Source organism: Homo sapiens, chromosome 7 (assembly GCF_000001405.40).
Source record: "Homo sapiens chromosome 7, GRCh38.p14 Primary Assembly".
Taxonomy (NCBI): domain Eukaryota; kingdom Metazoa; phylum Chordata; class Mammalia; order Primates; family Hominidae; genus Homo; species Homo sapiens.
The window spans coordinates 24,128,262-24,146,397 of record NC_000007.14 but is presented as its reverse complement, the minus strand read 5'-3'; the positions used below and the strand labels follow the sequence as shown (position 1 = coordinate 24,146,397).

The 18,136-nt window shown below is 43.3% G+C and overlaps 1 long non-coding RNA gene and 1 pseudogene across 1 annotated transcript in view, besides 1 other annotated feature; one reads left to right on the top strand and one right to left on the bottom strand.

The window, feature by feature from the left end:
* LOC107986777 (uncharacterized) overlaps positions 1–5,116 on the top strand; it is a 303,857-nt gene extending 298,741 nt beyond the window's left edge. Inside the window, exon 4 of the long non-coding RNA XR_001745132.2 lies at positions 4,630–5,116. This is a non-coding gene — a long non-coding RNA (uncharacterized LOC107986777). The remainder of the gene's footprint in view (positions 1–4,629) is intronic.
* On the bottom strand, positions 13,561–13,693 carry RNA5SP228 (RNA, 5S ribosomal pseudogene 228; annotated as a pseudogene).
* Positions 16,017–17,216: an enhancer, noted in NCBI's record as "P300/CBP strongly-dependent group 1 enhancer chr7:24168801-24170000 (GRCh37/hg19 assembly coordinates)". NCBI's record gives its function as "activates an origin of replication core promoter dependent on BRD2, BRD4, P300/CBP, MED14 and CDK7 cofactors, with strong dependence on P300/CBP, by STARR-seq in HCT116 cells {active_cell/tissue: HCT116}" and the evidence as "EXISTENCE:reporter gene assay evidence [ECO:0000049][PMID:35650434]".

Genomic DNA, 18,136 nt, shown 5'->3' with positions numbered 1-18,136 from the left:
AATCCAGTTTGGAAAGAAGAAAACTGAGTGAATAACATAACGAATACAATCATATGAGTGGGTGAGGGATGGCCACAGATCAGTTCTGGCCCTTCAACAGTAGAATCAAGCCATGTTCCTTGATGCCTCAGAGAGATCTTTTGCAACAAGTTTAAAAAAAGCATTATCCTAATCACAAAACAGGTATATCAAGAGCTGGTTCTAACAGGAAAGAGAATTTGGATCTAGATGAAATGAAATTGTGGATGATCCAGAAAAACTAAAGAAGTTTAAGATACAGACATTATGTGTGACTGAGACATTTCCCACTATTTGATAACCCAAATATTCTCTCTTGTCTCTAAAAATCTTGCAATTTAGCTATAGCTCTGTTTGGTTGAGTGAGCTCACACTGCCCCCTGTAAATGAGTGTAAATGTCTTTCCCATAGCGAAAAGAATGTTTTTTCTTTCACTCATAATCAATGGTTCAAAGTAGACAGCTGGGTTCTGGCTAGGTATTGCCTATTAACCACATTCGTAGATGACTGCAGTCGCCCACTTGTAATCGCTTGCAAACCTCTAAGTTATCTATTGTGGAAGACAAAGGGAACCATGAGAAATGCACAGAAGGAGCTGACAGTCTCTCTCAGGTCCTGGGCTGGTGTGCTATTCAATCTGATCTCAGAGCAGAGCAGTTCCAACGTCTTAGAGCCACTTACCAGATGTTTCAGATGGGAGTGGGGACCCTGGGCCAGTAAGCAATTGCTTCACCAAGAGTCCTCTTCAGAGCCACTGCACGAGGAGTAAGAGACTGGATGCAGAAGCCAGGCTGCCTGTTTGAATTCTAACTGCCATTGTGAGATTTGGGTCAAGTTATATAAAACTGTTTATGCTCAGTTTCCTAATTTTAAAATGGAGTATATAGTGCCTATGTCAAAAGACTGTTAGAAGGATTAAATGGGAAACAATGCTTTTACACTCTTTATAAAGTGCTGTTTGTGTAAGGCAGAAGGACAGTTTGGTGTTGGGAAAGAACACACGACTTGGCAAAGAATCTGAGTTAGGGCTGAGGCAGGAGCACTTATTAGCTTCGTGGTCTTGATCAAATTATTTACTTTCTCTTAGACTTGGTGTCTTCACCTGCAAAATGAATACACACCTTTATTTCCTACCTGTGCCACTACAGCATCAAATAAGAGTGTATATAAAAATATTGTTACCTGAAATCACCTTGTAAAAGTCATCAGTTTAATTTTCAGAAAACTGAAAATGAATCACACAAATATAAAATGGATGTGTGTCAGAGATTTTATTTAATTCATTAATTAATGAAGGGATCGTTATTAGTAAGTCTGGTCCAAAGAACATTTGGGGAGCAGAGTATTTATATATAATTTAATAAATAAATGTCAGAATAAAATTGCTGGGTTAGTTACAAAACTGGTAAAGATACTACAGTGCAATAAGTCATAACCTTTGGGATTATCTTTTCTGGCAGGTAGTATCATTTGTATTTCCACTGGACAAAAAATATTCAAGTTAACACAGTATCTGGGATATAATCAAATAGTTAAGCAAACACCAGTTCATTCCCGTAGATAATTAAACCTTGCATGAGCCTGTTAGCAATGACATGCAAGTCATCTTTTTCCTTATTTCTGAATTCTGGATAATCATTCCTAACCTCATTATTAATCAGAGCACTCCCAAGCTGGACAGACCCTTAGCAATCACATAGTCCAGGGATATTTGACACTGGGTGAATGTTAGAATCGCTTAATGTTAGTTTCTATGCTCTACAACAAATTAACAGAAACTTAGTCAACAATACCCATTGATTATCTCACAGGTCTGTAGGTCAGAAGCCTAGGCATGGCCTGCAGGGGTTCTCTACTCAGGATCTCAGAAGGCTGAAATCAAGATGTTGGCCAGAACACTGGCACACAGAGGCTTGATCAAGAGGCATCAAGCTCCCTCAGATGGCTGGAATGATTCATTTTCTTGTGATGGTTGAATTCGTGGCACCTTGTTTCCTCGAAGCCAGCAATGAAGAGAGAGTTTCTGCTGTCTTAAGTCTCTGACTTCCTGGAAGGTCTAAATCTTCTTGTAAAGGTTACACCCATCACACCTACCCAGGATAATCTCCTTTTTTAATTAGCCCAAAGGCAACCGATTAGGGACCTTAGTTATAGCTGCAAAATACCTTGATTTTTGCCATATAATGTAATGGGAATGATATCCCTTAACCTTTGCCATATTCTATTGGTTAGAAGCAGGTCACAGGTTCTATACACGCTCAATGGGAGGGGATTCCACAGGATGTGACTCATCTTCAGGGGTCACCCTAGAGTGTGTCCTCCACACCTGGAGAGTTTAGTAATACCTGGACCCCCGGAAGACATTCTGATTCAAATGGCCTATGGTAGGAACGTAGGTGGTGTTTTGTAAAAAGCTCTCTCAGCTGATTCTAAAGTGGCTGGCATTGGGAACCCCTCGTCAGGTCCTTTGCTCTCAAGTCACCAGACTCCCACACCCTAGTGCCCTTGCATTTTGTGACCTCAGGCAGAGTGGCTCACAAACACTTTAAAAAAACTAGCTGATGGTGATTTCAGCAAGATCAGATTCTTCGAAAGAGAACTCTGACTCTCTAGGACTGTGACCGCAGGCCACCCTGTGGAGCCTGGAAACATGCCCAGTGAGAACCTTCAGTTCTTGGTCCAGCTCAGTGCTCCATTCCTTTTGCTGCAGTCTCCCCACTGTGCCAGCCGTGGTGAAAACCTGCAGCAAGTCATGATGAAGTGTGTCTGCTATGATGTGCAAACCATAATATGCACCTGATGTAGTGTGCAAGCCATGATGAAGTGTGTCTGCCATGGTATGCAAGCCATGATAAGACATGTCTGTCGTGATGGGCAAGGCAAGGCTGTACACTAAGGTGAGATGCTGGAAATACCACAGAAACACAACACATCCATGCAGGCAGGGCAGGTGGCTGATTAAATTTAGACAACACACCTTCATAGTTCATAGGTGACTCCTTGCCTGTAATAGCAGATCTCATAGGTGTTTCATAATTGGCATGGGGATGGCCAGACATTTCATCTGCTTTGTTTTGGGCACCAAATGGATCATGTGGAATCTGCCAAATTAAGAAGGTGGGAAGTCATTGCCTTCTTGGGGAACCCTGGCCAGTGCCATTTGCACAAATGCCTCTACCCCAACCTCGCCGACCTGGCCTCTCAGCCATGATTCGCATTCAGATTCAGGAATATTCTGTGAATCTTCCACAGAAGTGGGAAAAATAGCAATTCTTCCCACAGAAATGGGAAAAATAGCAAAGAATTTTGCAGCTTACTTTAAACACACACACACATACAAAGCCAGTGTGCTCTCTCTAGACAAATCTCTGTGGAGAGGCCTCTTCAAGCAGGTTATTGATTTTCTAGGAAAAGACTCTACATCTCGTGTCTGCATTACCAATATCTCCAACTGAAGCTGACCAGGCTGCCTCCCCTCCTCCACAGCGGATGAGACCACATGTATCCAGTGTCTCTCACATTCAGTACACACACACACACACACACACACACACCCCTACCTTAGAGATTCGGCATTTATCATTGTGAAGAACTGTCCTACAAAATACAGAGGCTTTGAATACCTGTGGTCCACACTCCCTAAATGCCAGTAGTAGCCCCAGTTGCTGTCAAACCTTCTTAGGTTCTCCAATGTCCCCCTAGAGAGGCTGTGCTACCCCAGAATGAGAACCACCAGCTGGATCCGTGTTGGGAATTTGCCCTCACTCTTCAGGGCAGTGGTTTTCAAACTTGAGTGCACAATGGAATCACCTATCTCAAAACCCCTTATCCCCGGGCACCATCACCAGAAAGTCTCATGTGATTGGTCTAAGCTATGTCTTTAGATTTTAACCACTGAAAGGTTAAAAACTGCCGCAGATGATTCTAATGTGTGGCTGACGTCAACCTTCCCCATGGGTCTGGGACTCCGCGATGGCTGACGGGCCAGCATCTCTTCTGCCTGGTGTGCAGGCTGGCACAGCTCGAGCCAGCAGCTGCCTTGGAGTCAGGACCAACGTTCCGCTCAGTTCCCCAGTGCCCCCACACTGGATCTGACATCCACTTGGCTATTCCGCACCATGCCCCCTGCCTGCCAAGAAATTTATGGATCAGCGAGAAGCTAACTGCTAAATGAAGCAGCCCCCGGCTCATCCTCTTCAGGAGACACCGTGAAAAGGGAAATGGAAAGCCGTGCATACACTGCTTGGGCAGAGAGATAGAGAAGCTCAGATCTCTGGCTTGGGAGCAGGAGTCCTGCCAACTGCCCGGGGGACTTCTGGAAAGGAGTCATCACCAACAATGTGCTGGGGCCAGTTAAACGTCTCTAGGTAGACCTGCTTAATTATGGTGACATTTAGCAACCCCACACTGGGTTATTTAATGAATATCTCCTCCTTCATGGCTCCTAGGAGAATTCACTCCTCTGTTCTTCTCATTTATCTGGCTGGAGTTCCCTGGGAAGCTAGTTTAGTAGGGCAAAAAGGTAAGTATTTGTTGCAGAAAAAATATGTTTTGTTTTGTTTAAATCTTGTGAACTAATGGTCTTTTTTGTTGTTGTTATTGTTGTTTTAGGAAGTAGAAAAGCTTGGATTCTAAGGTAGTGAGCCAAACTTTCAAGAAGACAGCTGAGAAAGCATACCTCTGATTTGCTTCCAGCTCCAACTTCTTTCTTATTTTTAATCCATGCCAGAAATGCCAGAAGACAAGATTGCAAGGGGCACTCTGAATCTGCCAAGTTCCATGATGTTCTGTGACTCCTACCATGGCTGATTTCAATCTACCAACATTTAAATAGCTGGCTGTCTTATCCATTCCATCCTCAAACATGGACAGTTTTACGTCCTCTAAGAGTCCCCATTTACATCTCATGAAGCCACCAGGATTTAAACACCAGAAACGCATGCCACAAAAGGGTGGTGCTGTGTCTAACAACAACTTGGGAAAACAGATAGTAAGAGACTCTAAGAGACCCCGGGAAGCCTGGAAATAGAGAAAAGCCACATCGTTGCAGAGGAGAGACTCAAAGATAGGCATGGAGAGGGATGTATAGATGCCATCATACAGAGCAGGGCACTAAGCTTCCAGAAGGCTTCCAGTTTCATTAGCCCTTTTCTTCTCATTAGAAGAAATCTAGGAAGTGTGAATAACACATTTAAACATCATTTAAAAGTGATCCAGGATCCAGGTGTGGTGGCTCACACCTGTAATGCCAGCACTTTGGTAGGCCGAAGCAGGTGGATCACTTGAGGTCAGGAGTTCGAGACCAGCCTGGCCAAAATGGTGAAACCCCGTCTCTACTAAAAATACAAAAAAAAAAAAAAAATAGCTGGGCATGGTGGCGAGCACCTTTAATCCCAGCTAATTGGGAGGCTGAGGCAGGAGAATTGCTTGAACCCGGGATGCAGAGGCTGCAGTGAGCTGAGATTGTGCCATTGCACTCCAGCCTGGGCAACAAGAGTGAAATGCTGTCTCAAAAAAAAAAAAAAAAAAAAAAAGCGATCCAGGAAAGGAAGCACTCACCTGAAAAGTTACTGTGGGATCCAGAAGAGCTAGGAATGGTGCTTGTTAAGTCCCTGGGCAATGTGGCACAACCATGGGGCCACCCCATTGAGCCATGTGGGTGCAAGGGCCACCTGCCAACGAGTTTCTGGACAGCCCAAGGAAGTATGGTATGGCTTGTGTGTGCAGACACCAACTTGGTGCTATCTCCAAAGGTCTGCTGCATTGCAGAGAGATAACACTCTCTTTATAAAACAAGCTCCAAAGAATAAAAAGACAAGGGAAGGTCACACACTATTGCTTTTAGCAATGAACATGAGTTCCATAGTAATGGGAATTGACCTTTATAACAAGCAGATGTAGATAATAATAACAAAAGGCAACATGGACTGCTCACCAGGCACTGTTTACACACTTTTCATATATTGATATTTACTCCTCCGGACCACTCTAAGAGGTAGGTGCTTATTATTAAGCCCATTTTACAGCTGAGGAAACTGAGGCCCAGACCACCTCAATAACTTGCCTAAGCTCACATGCTAGTAAGCAGCAGAGTGATACTGAAGCCTGGCAGCATGGCTCAGAGTCACGAGGGCTGCACTGTGTATGAGATCTCCCCTCTGCAGCACTTTGCACTGGCCACTGTGCCTTCTGGGCAGAGGCACATTTCCTGATTTTCCTTTTTGACTGCAAGCTCCTCCAGGGCATAGACCCAGAGTGTCTGGCTCTCACTGAGTCCCCAGAGAAGTCAGTTCTTGACTTGTAGTACGGTCTTGCAAGGCAGAGGTACTGTCTGGTTCGAACTTCTGGGCACTGATTCTGCTTTATCCTCTCAGAGGAGGAAGGATCCTTGCCGACGCTGAGTTTACACAAGAATCAGAAAGAGTAACATTTGTAATAGTCACTGAAATGAAAGCAAATAGACTGCTAGTGTGAGTTATTTGCAGTGAGGCTACAAGGGCAGAGACATGGCAAGGAAAAAGGTCTCTAGATCAGTTCAGACCGTGGCAAACAGAGTGTTCCATTACTGACTCTGGGGCCAGAGGATGCTCTACTGAGACCTGCTGCTTCTGCTCCCCACTGCATGGCTGTCTTCCTTCTGGAAAAAATACGTTTGTAACATTGGCTAATTAAGTTAGGGACTTTAAACTTACAAACCCCTCCTGAGACATTGAAGTCGTAATAAGCATCTGTTGGTGGAGGAATGAATGAGTGAATGAATGAATGAAGGTTTCCCTCAACTGCCTGGTACTGTTGGAGAAATTCACTGCCAGTGGACCACAATGGGGAGAAAGACTCCCAGATGCCTTTTCTACAGCTCCCGAGTCTCCCAGCCTTGAAACACTGAATCCTCAAGATTTTATTCCCTCTGTCCAATGCCCTGCATGTACGGGGCAGAATCATTACAAGGGTCCAGTATGCAGCTGAGCCTCGGGGTTTCACATCTGTGACTTACAGAGAAAAGAAGGCTTCAGGTTCTCGGTTCATTGCCCCACAGTGACACACTCTTCCCCAGACCGGAAGAGGAACTCAGTCTCCTCCTCGCATCCTGCCTATGCTTCATCCATCCAGAAAAGTCAGATTTGAAAGAATTTTGACTCACTTCTGAGGATTCTTTTTTTTTTTTTTTTTCTGAGATGGAATCTCCCTCTGTCGCCCAGGCTGGAGTGCAGTGGCGCGATCTCGGCTCACTGCAAGCTCCGCCTCCCGGGTTCACGCCATTCTCCTGCCTCAGCCTCCCAAGTAGCGGGGACTACAGGCGCCCGCCACCAAGCCCAGCTATTTTTTTCTATTTTTAGTAGACATGGGGTTTCACTGTGTTAGCCAGAATGGTCTCGATCTCCTGACCTCGTGATCTGCCCCCTTCGGTCTCCCGAAGTGCTGGGATTACAGGGAGGATTCATTTTTTTACGTGAGTTGCATTTAAAATCAAAACAATATTTTTCCCTCTTTTCTATACTTTCTCTCTTTTGTCCTGGTCTTATTTTGTTTTTCCTTCAAAAAGAAGAAATAACATATAAGCCCTTTATAATAATGTGTTATTGAAAAGCTCAAATATTTCATGGACATATGTTTTGAATAACTAAGAGGTATTACTGTACATTCAAATGCTTCCCTGACATGCTGTAACAAAAGGGGCCTTGGAATGTCTAAACATGAAATTATCACTGTAGTTTTCCTACAGTTTGACTGAACTATTTCCTGCCTCTATATCAAACAATCCCATTACCCCCTAGATGCACCCTATCAGTGTTTCAAACAAGTGGCATTTTGCCCAGTTTAGAATTTGCAGCTGCTAACATGCACAGATAGTCCAGAGCTCAGCCCTGACTGGTGTTGTGTACAGAAAACAAGTTGTATGCAACTTACCAGAAACATAGATGCATTTCTTGAATGTGTCCAGTGACTAATGGTATGAGAAATGCCCACAGGGCTATGCTCAATCTAAGGAAAACTTTTTAATTAAAGAAGAGATTTTCAATAGCTCACATCTTGGGAAGGTCCACTGGGTTTAGGAATAGAAAGTTACTGGGCTATCAAGGATAAGTCATTCCACTCTAGGCTGAGATCCTTTGCATTCACAGAGAAGAAAATATGCAAATGACTAGAATTCACAGAGTGGCTTGATTGATTAAGGGAGAAGAAGGCCTTGGGATGTGATAGCGAAGGTCCTGAGGGTTGGAGACCCGCTCTGCTCATGTCTGACTGGTGACCTCAGGTCAGTTGCTGGGCATCAGAAGCTCAGCTTTCCATCTGTGACATGACCAGCACAGTGCTTGGCATATCAGATACACTGAACTAATGATTGCTGAATTAAGGAAGGAAGGAAAGATTCTCAAGCACTGTTGCAAACTCAGATCTCAAATAACACATGCCCTCTCACCCTTCTCATCTTCTCAAGCCCCTAGATCCTAATCTGACCCCCCATGAGAAGGGGTCAGGCACTGCCCTGGGAAAAATAGCTATACATGGTCCTCTGATGAGCTGGGGAAGGAAGAAGCATCTTTGAGCATAACCCAGTTACAGAAGAGTAAGTTATGGGTTCATAGTCTCTCCTGCTCCAATTAGCATGGCATGGTCTGATGCCTCTTTAAGTCTCTTCCAAATCCTTTCTGCTTTATCCCAGGTTAGGCAGTACTTCCCCAGCCCTAAACTCCAGGCTCGTCTGTCTTTCCTGCCCTCTCTCCCATTTCTGTGTCATGGCCAGAGCTCTTTCTCTAAGAGCCCTTGTTCAGTAGAAAGCCAATGCCTTTGCTCTCCAGCACTCAAGTGTATGCTTGTGAAGGAGAAGCAGCCCTCCCTACAATGACCAAACTCACTGGCCTTCATTCAGAAGCACCCCATGAGGTGCCTGTTCCCAGGCAATCAACCCAGGAGAAAGAGACAGCATGTCTCCTCTGCTTTTATCCCTTTGCTCTTCCTCCTTCTTCTGTACCCTTTGGGACCCCTTGGTTCCTCCAAGATCGATTCACACATCTTCCCCTTAACATGATGAGACACGGACAAAAATTAGGAATGTCTGAAAATTCAGAGGGCATTCTCCCCTCTGTCCATCCCCCAGCTCACACTTCATTGCACACATTGAGGTCATGCATAGTGGAAGAAGATATATTTTGAAAAGGAAAAGAAAAGCAAAAATGTTGAAATAAAAGAAGAAAAAGTAAAACCATCTAGAAATCCTGGGTAACATGGACAGAGAAAAGAAGAGTCATGCAGGATTTTGGAAGTTTGGGCTTAACAGTCAAGGGAATGGAAAGGAGAGATTCAGGAATTAGCTGCATTCTGCATAGAATCAATTGAGAAGGGGTTAGAGAGAGAGAGGATTTTAAGATAGTTTGCTGCATTAGGGACATACTTCCCTCAGAGACTGTGTAAAGATTTGAATTATGGATCGTGACTTTATGATGTCTTCACTATGTGTCTCTGAATATGATCCAGTGTCAAAATTCATCACAGATGGACTCACTTGTATTTTGGGGACAGTTACTCACTCTAAGGAGGCCTTCTCCCCAGGCTGGGTTCCTACATGTTCCTTTCCTGTCCTTGACCTCTACAAGTCCTCATCTACTGATCCATATTCTCCTCCCCAAAAATACAAACTTGAATCACTTATTCTTGCCCCAGGCACACTAGAATTTTGCAAAAATCCTTATTATTTGAGAGGACTGGCTTCCCTTCTTCCCACTTTCAGAAACTCTTTTCCTCCAAACTGATCCCAATTTCCCATACTAGTAACCAGCTTCAAGGTGGTAGCCAGGAGAAGGGGAGATGGTAAAAAGTAGGTGAGGAATGCTGAAGCCCTCAGTGGGGAGGGGAGGTGGCTGGATGACTTGGTAAGGTTTCCCCAGTGCCGACATCAGTATACTTAAATAAGAACATTCCAAAGGCTTGCTTTGTCTTAAAGTTGGGATTAGCAAGGGCACGTGTCACTCTGTAAAAGCCTAGTTTTCCTAGAAGGCACAAGAAGTATAGAGGATTGGAAAACATGCAAGGATGTGGCATTCCACATGCTCCAAAGGGCCTATATTAGAGCCTTAAACTCTCTTCCAATTCTTAGCCAGCAATGTCGATTAGATGGGTAACTTGAAGACAGCCAAAACCACACAATTTCCATCAAAAGGCAATTCACTGCTTTCATAACAGTGGGGATGGCTACCGGTAGTTAAAAAGGCAGAAGTGGCTCATCCATCTCTGGGAATAATTTATATGACTTGGATGACATTTAATTTAACACAGGTCACCCAAAAGGATGGTGATTTAATGCCCCAGCTTTTTTTTTTTTTCAGTGCTGCGTTGCTGTCATTAGGTGAGTTTCACCTCATACTTCTTTGTTTTTATTTGAAGAGAAATCTGTTTGAAAGACATAATTGTAAACTATCACTTTTCCAGCTGTAGGCAGGGAATAAAACCCCCAAGGTGAAACATCTGACCTTGAAACTCAGAGTGAATAAGCCTCTGTGCTCCTAGCAAGGGGAATGAAGGTAGATTTGTGAATTAAAACAACAAAGTAGACTCCAGCTTCCCTAGGAGATGGAGCCCGGGAAGATGGACTTTTCTATTGTTGCCTGCCATGTCCAGGCCTCAGATGCAAATAATATCCTCTCTGCAATTTTGTGAGAAAAAAAACCTGCTGTGGCAGTGACCCTGAAAAAGCACCTCATCATCAATCCCCATTGGTTCTGGGAAATGGCCAAGCCACAGAAAACCTTCCTTCCTCTTTTGAAATGTCCCCAACCTGCTAGCTTGTCCCCTTATAGCCAAACTTGACTGTCAAATGTACCCGAAGGCCAAATGAAGAGTGTTCCCTGCCTTAAAAAATCCCACCCTAATAGAACAGTCGCCAATCAGACACAGCCTTGGTGTTTCCTCCTTTTTACCCTAAAAACCTCACTTTCCTTCAAACACCCTTGAACCCCTGCTGAAATGAAAGAACAGGAAATGGGTGCCCCTGCCACAAGTTTATGAAAAATCAGCCTTGGCTAATTATTGCCTCGGACTGAGTTTTTCTTTGATACCCATAAGAGAAACAGTGTCACTCCCTGAGCACCAATTAATAATAGGGAGTTGGTGAGATATGGGATGGCACAAAGTTCCATGGGAAACTGGAATTTGGACTCAGGTCTGTCTGCCTCCAAGGCCATGCATTGTTCCACACTCACACTTCCCACCTCTCTGGTTTGAACAACACTTATTTCTGCAATCCAGAAAAGTGAGAGAGAGGAAGTCCAGAGGGAGGTAGCCCTGGGGCTCAAATAAGCAAAAGGCCAACCACACCTTAACTCAAAGGGGCTTGGGAGCATGTTTATCTCACTGGTGACCAAGCCACCAATGCCAAGCACATGGGCCGCTCTCTCTCTCTCTGTCTCTCTCTCTGTTTCTCTGTCTCTCTCTGTCTCTCTCTCTCTCTCTCTGTGCATACCTTGGACTGGCTGTTGTCATCACTGAAGCTGCACTTGATGAACATTATAACTTAATTTCACTCACAAAGCAATATTGAGGTATGAGGCAGAGAAACACAAGGCAGGGTTTGGTCTGTCCAATACAGAGCCTTGCAGGTCCTTGAGTTCACGCTGAGTCCTGACTCCAGGGAAGGACCCAGAAACTATCAGCACTTCTCACAGGACTCCCTTGCGGATCTTGCTGAAATGCTGATTCTGGGTCTGCGGGTCTGGGCTTGGGATTGAGATTCTGCATGTCTGACAAAGTACCCAGGTGAGGTCGATGCTGCTGGTCTGAGGTATCAGGCAGTTATTCTCAACCCTTCTTGCATATTATAATCAACAGGGAGCTTTTAAAATAATACTAAAGCCCAGGCCCCAGGCCCAAAGATTCTGATTTAATTGGTTGTGAGTGGGACTTGAGCATGGACACCAATATTCTAGAATCCCCTCAGCAGCCAGGCATGAGAACCACCACACAAGAGCCTCCAGGTAATTAATTCTGGCAATCCCACTCTCAGGTATGAAAGGATGGGATAGCTGCATTTGAAAATGAAAAGCTTCAATAGTGACAACCTTTTCTTAGTTTAAGGTGGCCTTTCTTCCCAGTAATTCCACTCATTATAAACACTTGTGCATTTGTGACAACATGTAAAAACATATGTTTCCTCATAAGGAAGCTGGGTTTTCTCCGTGGTCCCAGCAGCTATTGAGACTCAGCTGTAAGGTTTAGTGTGCCAAGGAAGATGGGGATGTGAGCTGCCCAAATCAGGGGAAGTTCATCGCACAGGGAAGAAAAGTGAGGCTCTGCTGGGAAGGGAGTAGGGGGTAGCCCACCAGACAGGAAGGATGGGGAAAGCCCTACTGTTGGAAAAAGAGCAGTTCAGAGGAGAGCCCGCAGGAGATGGGATAGGAAATAGCCTGTCCCTGATGTGTCCCCTAGAAAGACCAGAAGCTTACCCCAGGGTGGACTATGACAGCAGACACGAGCAGGATACCCAGTGACCAAGGAGACTAATGGCATCCCCACAGAGGAAGAGAAACCCGGCGACCACACAGAAACCCACACAGACCAACTTCCTTCCCCTAAAGCTCCTGCCCTCATCCAGACACCATTTTGACTGAGAGATGCCAGGGTAGAGAAGCCCATAAGGCTGATGTAGATCATTTACTCAATGGAGATGTTCAAACCAAAGAAGGCTAGGATCTTTAAATGGCAAATTTACATTTCCCTGGCCATGGCCCACCACTGGCAGGAAGAAGGGAGGCTTGGTCCCAGAACAGTTGCAGGAACCAGGCTTTTGCTGGTCTTCCTGGCATGACTGAGTTCTCTTGCATAAGTTGTTGATCCTATATACCTACATATATAGCTAAGGCATTGTGAGCACAGAAGACCTGATTTTTTTTTCTTTAGAAATGGCCTAAAGGAGAAAAGAACACAGAGTGATCCACCTTTTCTCTACGAAACCTTAAAAGACACAAGAGAAAGGTCTTTCTAGTAAGAAAAACACAATTGTTGTTATACCTGCTGAGTACTGCATCAAATTAAAAACCCATATCACAGTGCTCCTTTAAATCTGACCAGGTAGAGAAAGTGTTTCTCAGCAATCTCCAAAACTGGTAGGAAAAAGGTTATTATGTCAGTTAATCACCACATCAAGAGTCCTCCTAAGGAAGTCCTTTTCAGACTTTCCACAGCTTCTTAGGCCCCTGTGTGGCATCTGCCCCCTGCCTCCTCCCCTGGGTACTTGCCCCACCTCCTAGGCCTCTAAGCCATCCCAAGATGGGGTCATTTGAGGGGACTTCACAGTCTCTTTAGTATACACTGGGAGGTTGTGTTGACAGGCCATCAGCCTAAGCAGTAGAAATCTTCATTTAACGTGTTCTCTTGTAGTAAGCATGTCCTTTTTATTTTCTGTATTTTTGATGTTTTGACATCTGGGGCCTTGCTGACCCTAGACTAGCCAACTCTAGACCACAACCACCTCCTATCTGGGGCTCTTGCGCTGGACTGCAAACCGTAAATAGTACATTCCTGCCCTTCCCAAAGCAGAAGGGGTTAAAATCATCTCACTACCATGACTCTGCAAGTCCTCTGATGTTCCCTTTCTCCCATCCAAGTACTAGCCAGGCCCTGCCCTGCTTAGCTTCTGAGATTAGAGGAGATGGGGCATGTTCGGGGCAGCATAGCTGTGATAATATCCCCTTACTAATGCTCCTGTAGTAATGTCCTTACTCAACACATGTCTGGCCAACCTAAAGCTTAAATCTGGTTACATGGCATTTTTATGTGGTTCTTTACCATTTACAAGGCACTTTTGCTCCCATCATCTTATTGGATTCTCCCAGCCACCCTGTGGGGTCAGTGGGAATTAAATTTCTGATAAAATCCCTCTCTGCTCAACCGATTCCTGAATATTAAAGGAAATTTCAGCAAAATTTCATTATTGCAACATACTGAACACCAATGGAATTCAAAATCTTTTGAGGCCATTTCTACCAATCTTAGAAAATTTCTCTCTATTCAGCCAAACAGGGCTCTGTTCAATAGGAGCTGAATTCTGACATGAAACTTGGAACAAGGAAACTTATCTGATACCATTTGCATCCATAATACTTAGGTCAAGATCACATGCAAAAAACATCCATATTCTACACATTCATTCATCACTAAGGAAAACACTCAAATGCAGAAGGTTCAGGAAATAGATGTGGGAAAATGTATTCAGAATCCTACTACAGCTAGAGCCATAATTAGAAGTCTTGTGCTTGCCAGCTCTGAAGTGCTAATCTTTAAGATGGTCCAGATATTCAAGAAAACTAATAAATCCTTTTTAGTGCTATGCTTCTCTGTAGAACATATGAAAATGGGAGTTTTAAAAGTTACAAATTGGATGACACTTACAGATAAACTTTGCTTTGTACAGTAGATTCTTTTTTAAATGTGTAAGCTGACTGAACTTTTGTGAGTCAGGTTGCATTTTAAGTAAAAGAATCCAGAAAAGGAAGCGTTTGCTATTTAAGGGGATCATATATATATATGATTCCAGTTATTATTATATATACATCTATATATGTAATACATATAATCACCTTAAAGTTATCTTCTAATTTATATATTTTGTAAATCTGTAATTTTACATTTCAGATTTGCTTGAAGTAGGATACATATGGATTTAATTTGCAAAACAATTCATCTAAACTCCCTTATTTAGAAGATTTTTTATGTATTAGAATATGATTTTGTAAATAGCTGCTGGTGGCTGCATTTAGTAAGGATCTAAATGTCTAGTTCCAATTTTGATACAAACTAGTTGTGTGACTTTAGACAAATTACTTGTTATGTCCGGTTTCTTCTTCTGTAAAATGAGAAGTTTAGATTAAGTTATTTTTTCATTTTCTGATTTTCCATATACACTCATGTGTTCAACTTTAATACTTGACATATATCAGAATGTTAATATATATTAAGATCAATTTTCTAAGAACAATTTTTACATTTTTCCCTGTAGCTTTAATGCTATTAAATTCAAGCCTGCTTAATGCTTCTACCAGGTAATGATTTTGCAAGATGTTTTAAGTATCCAGCCTTGTTTACTCCTGTGAAGCAAGGAATATTACTTGAAAATAATAACTGTGTACTGCTCTCCAATGGAGAATCATTACATTTATGACCTTGAGTTTCTATTGAATTTCTCTCTATGTGTTTATTATCCCATACTCAGCCAATGACCATATGTTCTCCTCAAGACAGCTACTACTACTGTCAGAGATATGCTTATAAGATTTATTTTTGTCATTATTTACTTTTTAATGATATTTATACTCTGGCCATAAATGAGAGAAGACAGATGCATCATTTCCCCAACCTTGCCAGACAAAAAGGAATATATTCAGAGTCAAACAAACAATGTAGCACATACTTACTTCTCTGCTTCAAAACAGAGTGCTAAAATCAGGGTTGCTGTATATGGTTGCTCAGGCTGTACACTGTACAATTCTCAGGAACATCATTCACACCATTTGCATGCATTGTGCAATCTACAACCTGCTGAGCCATATACTGAGACTCCTGCTGCAATATATGTAGGAGTTGGGCCAGTCAGCATATTTCCAAGCAGAAAAGGCAATTCTAGTAGTGTATGCAGTACCATGGGGTTTACACTAGAAAGGCTATAACCAGAGATAAGATAAATCAAACAATCACCCAGTGTCCATAGCTGACATATATTTCTCTTTACTACTAAATTCCTATAATCTAAGAATACACCTGCTGTCTCTATTTTCTCATTTCCTTCAAAACTCCCTCCAGTACAGCTTCTGTTGATCTAACTTACTGAAATTGTGCTCTTCCAGGTCATCAGTGGAACAATATTGACTGAATTTCTCAGTTCTCTCTCTAGCTGGCCACCCTCCTTTTTGTGCCCTTTCTTGATGAATGGTTTCTTCCTTTGGATTCAGTGATAGATGGTGGAGGTCCCACCAGAAGGGCACTCTGAATGGATAAAATCTGTGTTTGTTAGAAAAGTTGCCAACTACATGCCAGGTGAGAGAAAGAAATCACCTGGCTGTTCCTAAAGGGGGCCTCCCTTAGAGGGGCTGGGGGAAAGAGTGCCCATGGTGGGAGAGGTGTGGGTGATCAGGGAGGCAAGAAGGAGTCTTGTACTGGGACTGTACTCTGACCTGGGCCTCTGACTCCTGCTTTGGCCCTGTCAGTAGCTTGATATGTAACCTGGGGGATCTCCTCACTAGTGGGAGAGCATGCAGGATCCAGCTTTCTGGGACTCGAGCACCCTGTGAATGAATGTGATTCTGGAAACTCACTTCTCAAACAATGGCTGAGAGAGCATTTACACAAAGACCAGGACTAGCCTCCAGGAGACGAGGACCAGCCTGCAGCAGTGTGGTCTGAGCCCTGGGTACAGGACGGCTTCCCCAGCATCATGAGTGCTCCCCTCTGTATAGCTGAGAATTTCACTCCACCCCTGAGCTTCAGCCACAGAAGAAAGCTAACACACCTTGCCCGCAGTGTTTCTGAACCAGCTGGGGTGCTCATCCACAGTGGCTCAAACCTCCACAGCCTGCCTTTTCTGAGTCATCAGGATCTGAAGGACTTGAATCACTGGGACGTCACCCAGGTTCTGCTATTTGGACACAACTCTCCAAGATGATTTTCTACTTATTCACAGTCAGAAAAATGAGACAAGACTGAGCCAGACTGAGCCGTCCCCAGCCCTAAAACTCATAAGTACTAGGGAACCCTGAACACTAACAAGTTAAATACTTGAAAGGAGATGGTCAGAACTTTGGGAACTCTATTTTGAAAAGACAGAGATGTGGAGAGGATCTCCGATATTTGTACTCTAGGGAAAAACAGGGCATATTAGTTATTCCAAATTGTAGGGGCACCCAGTTATAATGTTCAACTCTGGCCCTCCTTCTCCTTCCCCTTTACTCATCCTTCTACCCTTTCACTGTCTATTCTTCCTCATAGTCCCATCCCAGATACCTTCTAAGACACAGGCCAGGGTGCACTTATTTGCCCTTTGCTATTCTCTCTCTAACCTCTTTTTCTTACAGATTCCCTAAACCTCCGTAACTTCAACCATTCCCTAGGGCAATAGCTGGGAAAAACCCAGCTAAGAAGGAGCAATCCTGAAGATGTCCTTGCATGGCAAACCCAAACCAAAGTAAATTCTCAGGCCAAAGATCACAGTCCAAGATAAACCCATGGACCTAAAAGAGAGAGGAGATCCCCTCGGTGAATAACTGAACCCGATAGACTCGAAAAGGCCAGAAATGTAAAGACCACACAGCCAGAGAAAGGACAACGATTCCGTTCACTTGAATGACAGGCGAGCCTTAGTATTAAAGCAGGGACAGGCATGGGGTTGCGCTTGAGAGTAATCCTCAAAGGAAGTCTCCACTCAGACAAAATGACTTTCCAAGCTTTAGACATTAAAGACAAATTAATACTCCTCCAAATCACAGAGAATAAAAAGGGATAATGTTTAAAATAAGGAGAAGAAGAAGATCAAACTTTGCCTTGAGTGAGGCGCGGAGGAGGCTTGAGGAGAATGTGCACAAACCAGAAAGTAGGTGCGATCACAGTGCTCGCCAGCTGCCGGCTCTCCTCTCTGAAAGGAGCATATTCCAAGACCTAATGACTGAAATAATTTGACAAGTTCTTACTCTACAAAGACGGCTATAAGAAGCAATGGAAAATTGAAAACAGAAGAAAGGCTATCCAGAGAAACAGAACCAATTACATACATACATATATGTACATACGTAAACATACATATACACAGAGTGATTCTTGGTATCACAGCCATTCAAAGAGGAGAAATGTACGAGAGTATAGACCAAGGTCAAAATTAATAATATGAAGCAAATGAAGGCAATTTAAAAAGTGAGTAAAGAGATTATGGGGGTTAACAATACAATAAATAATGTTGTAATAGACAAATGAGAAGACTTTACTAATAACTAAAGGTATTTGCAAGTATACTCAAGAAACTTTCATGAAAGGGACCATATTCTGGCATGTAATGTGTATTTAATAAAAACAAAAAGTCAAAAATTCAGCTTGCCACATTCTCAGTTCCTAGTGCGATAAAATTGAAAATTTTTAAGAATTA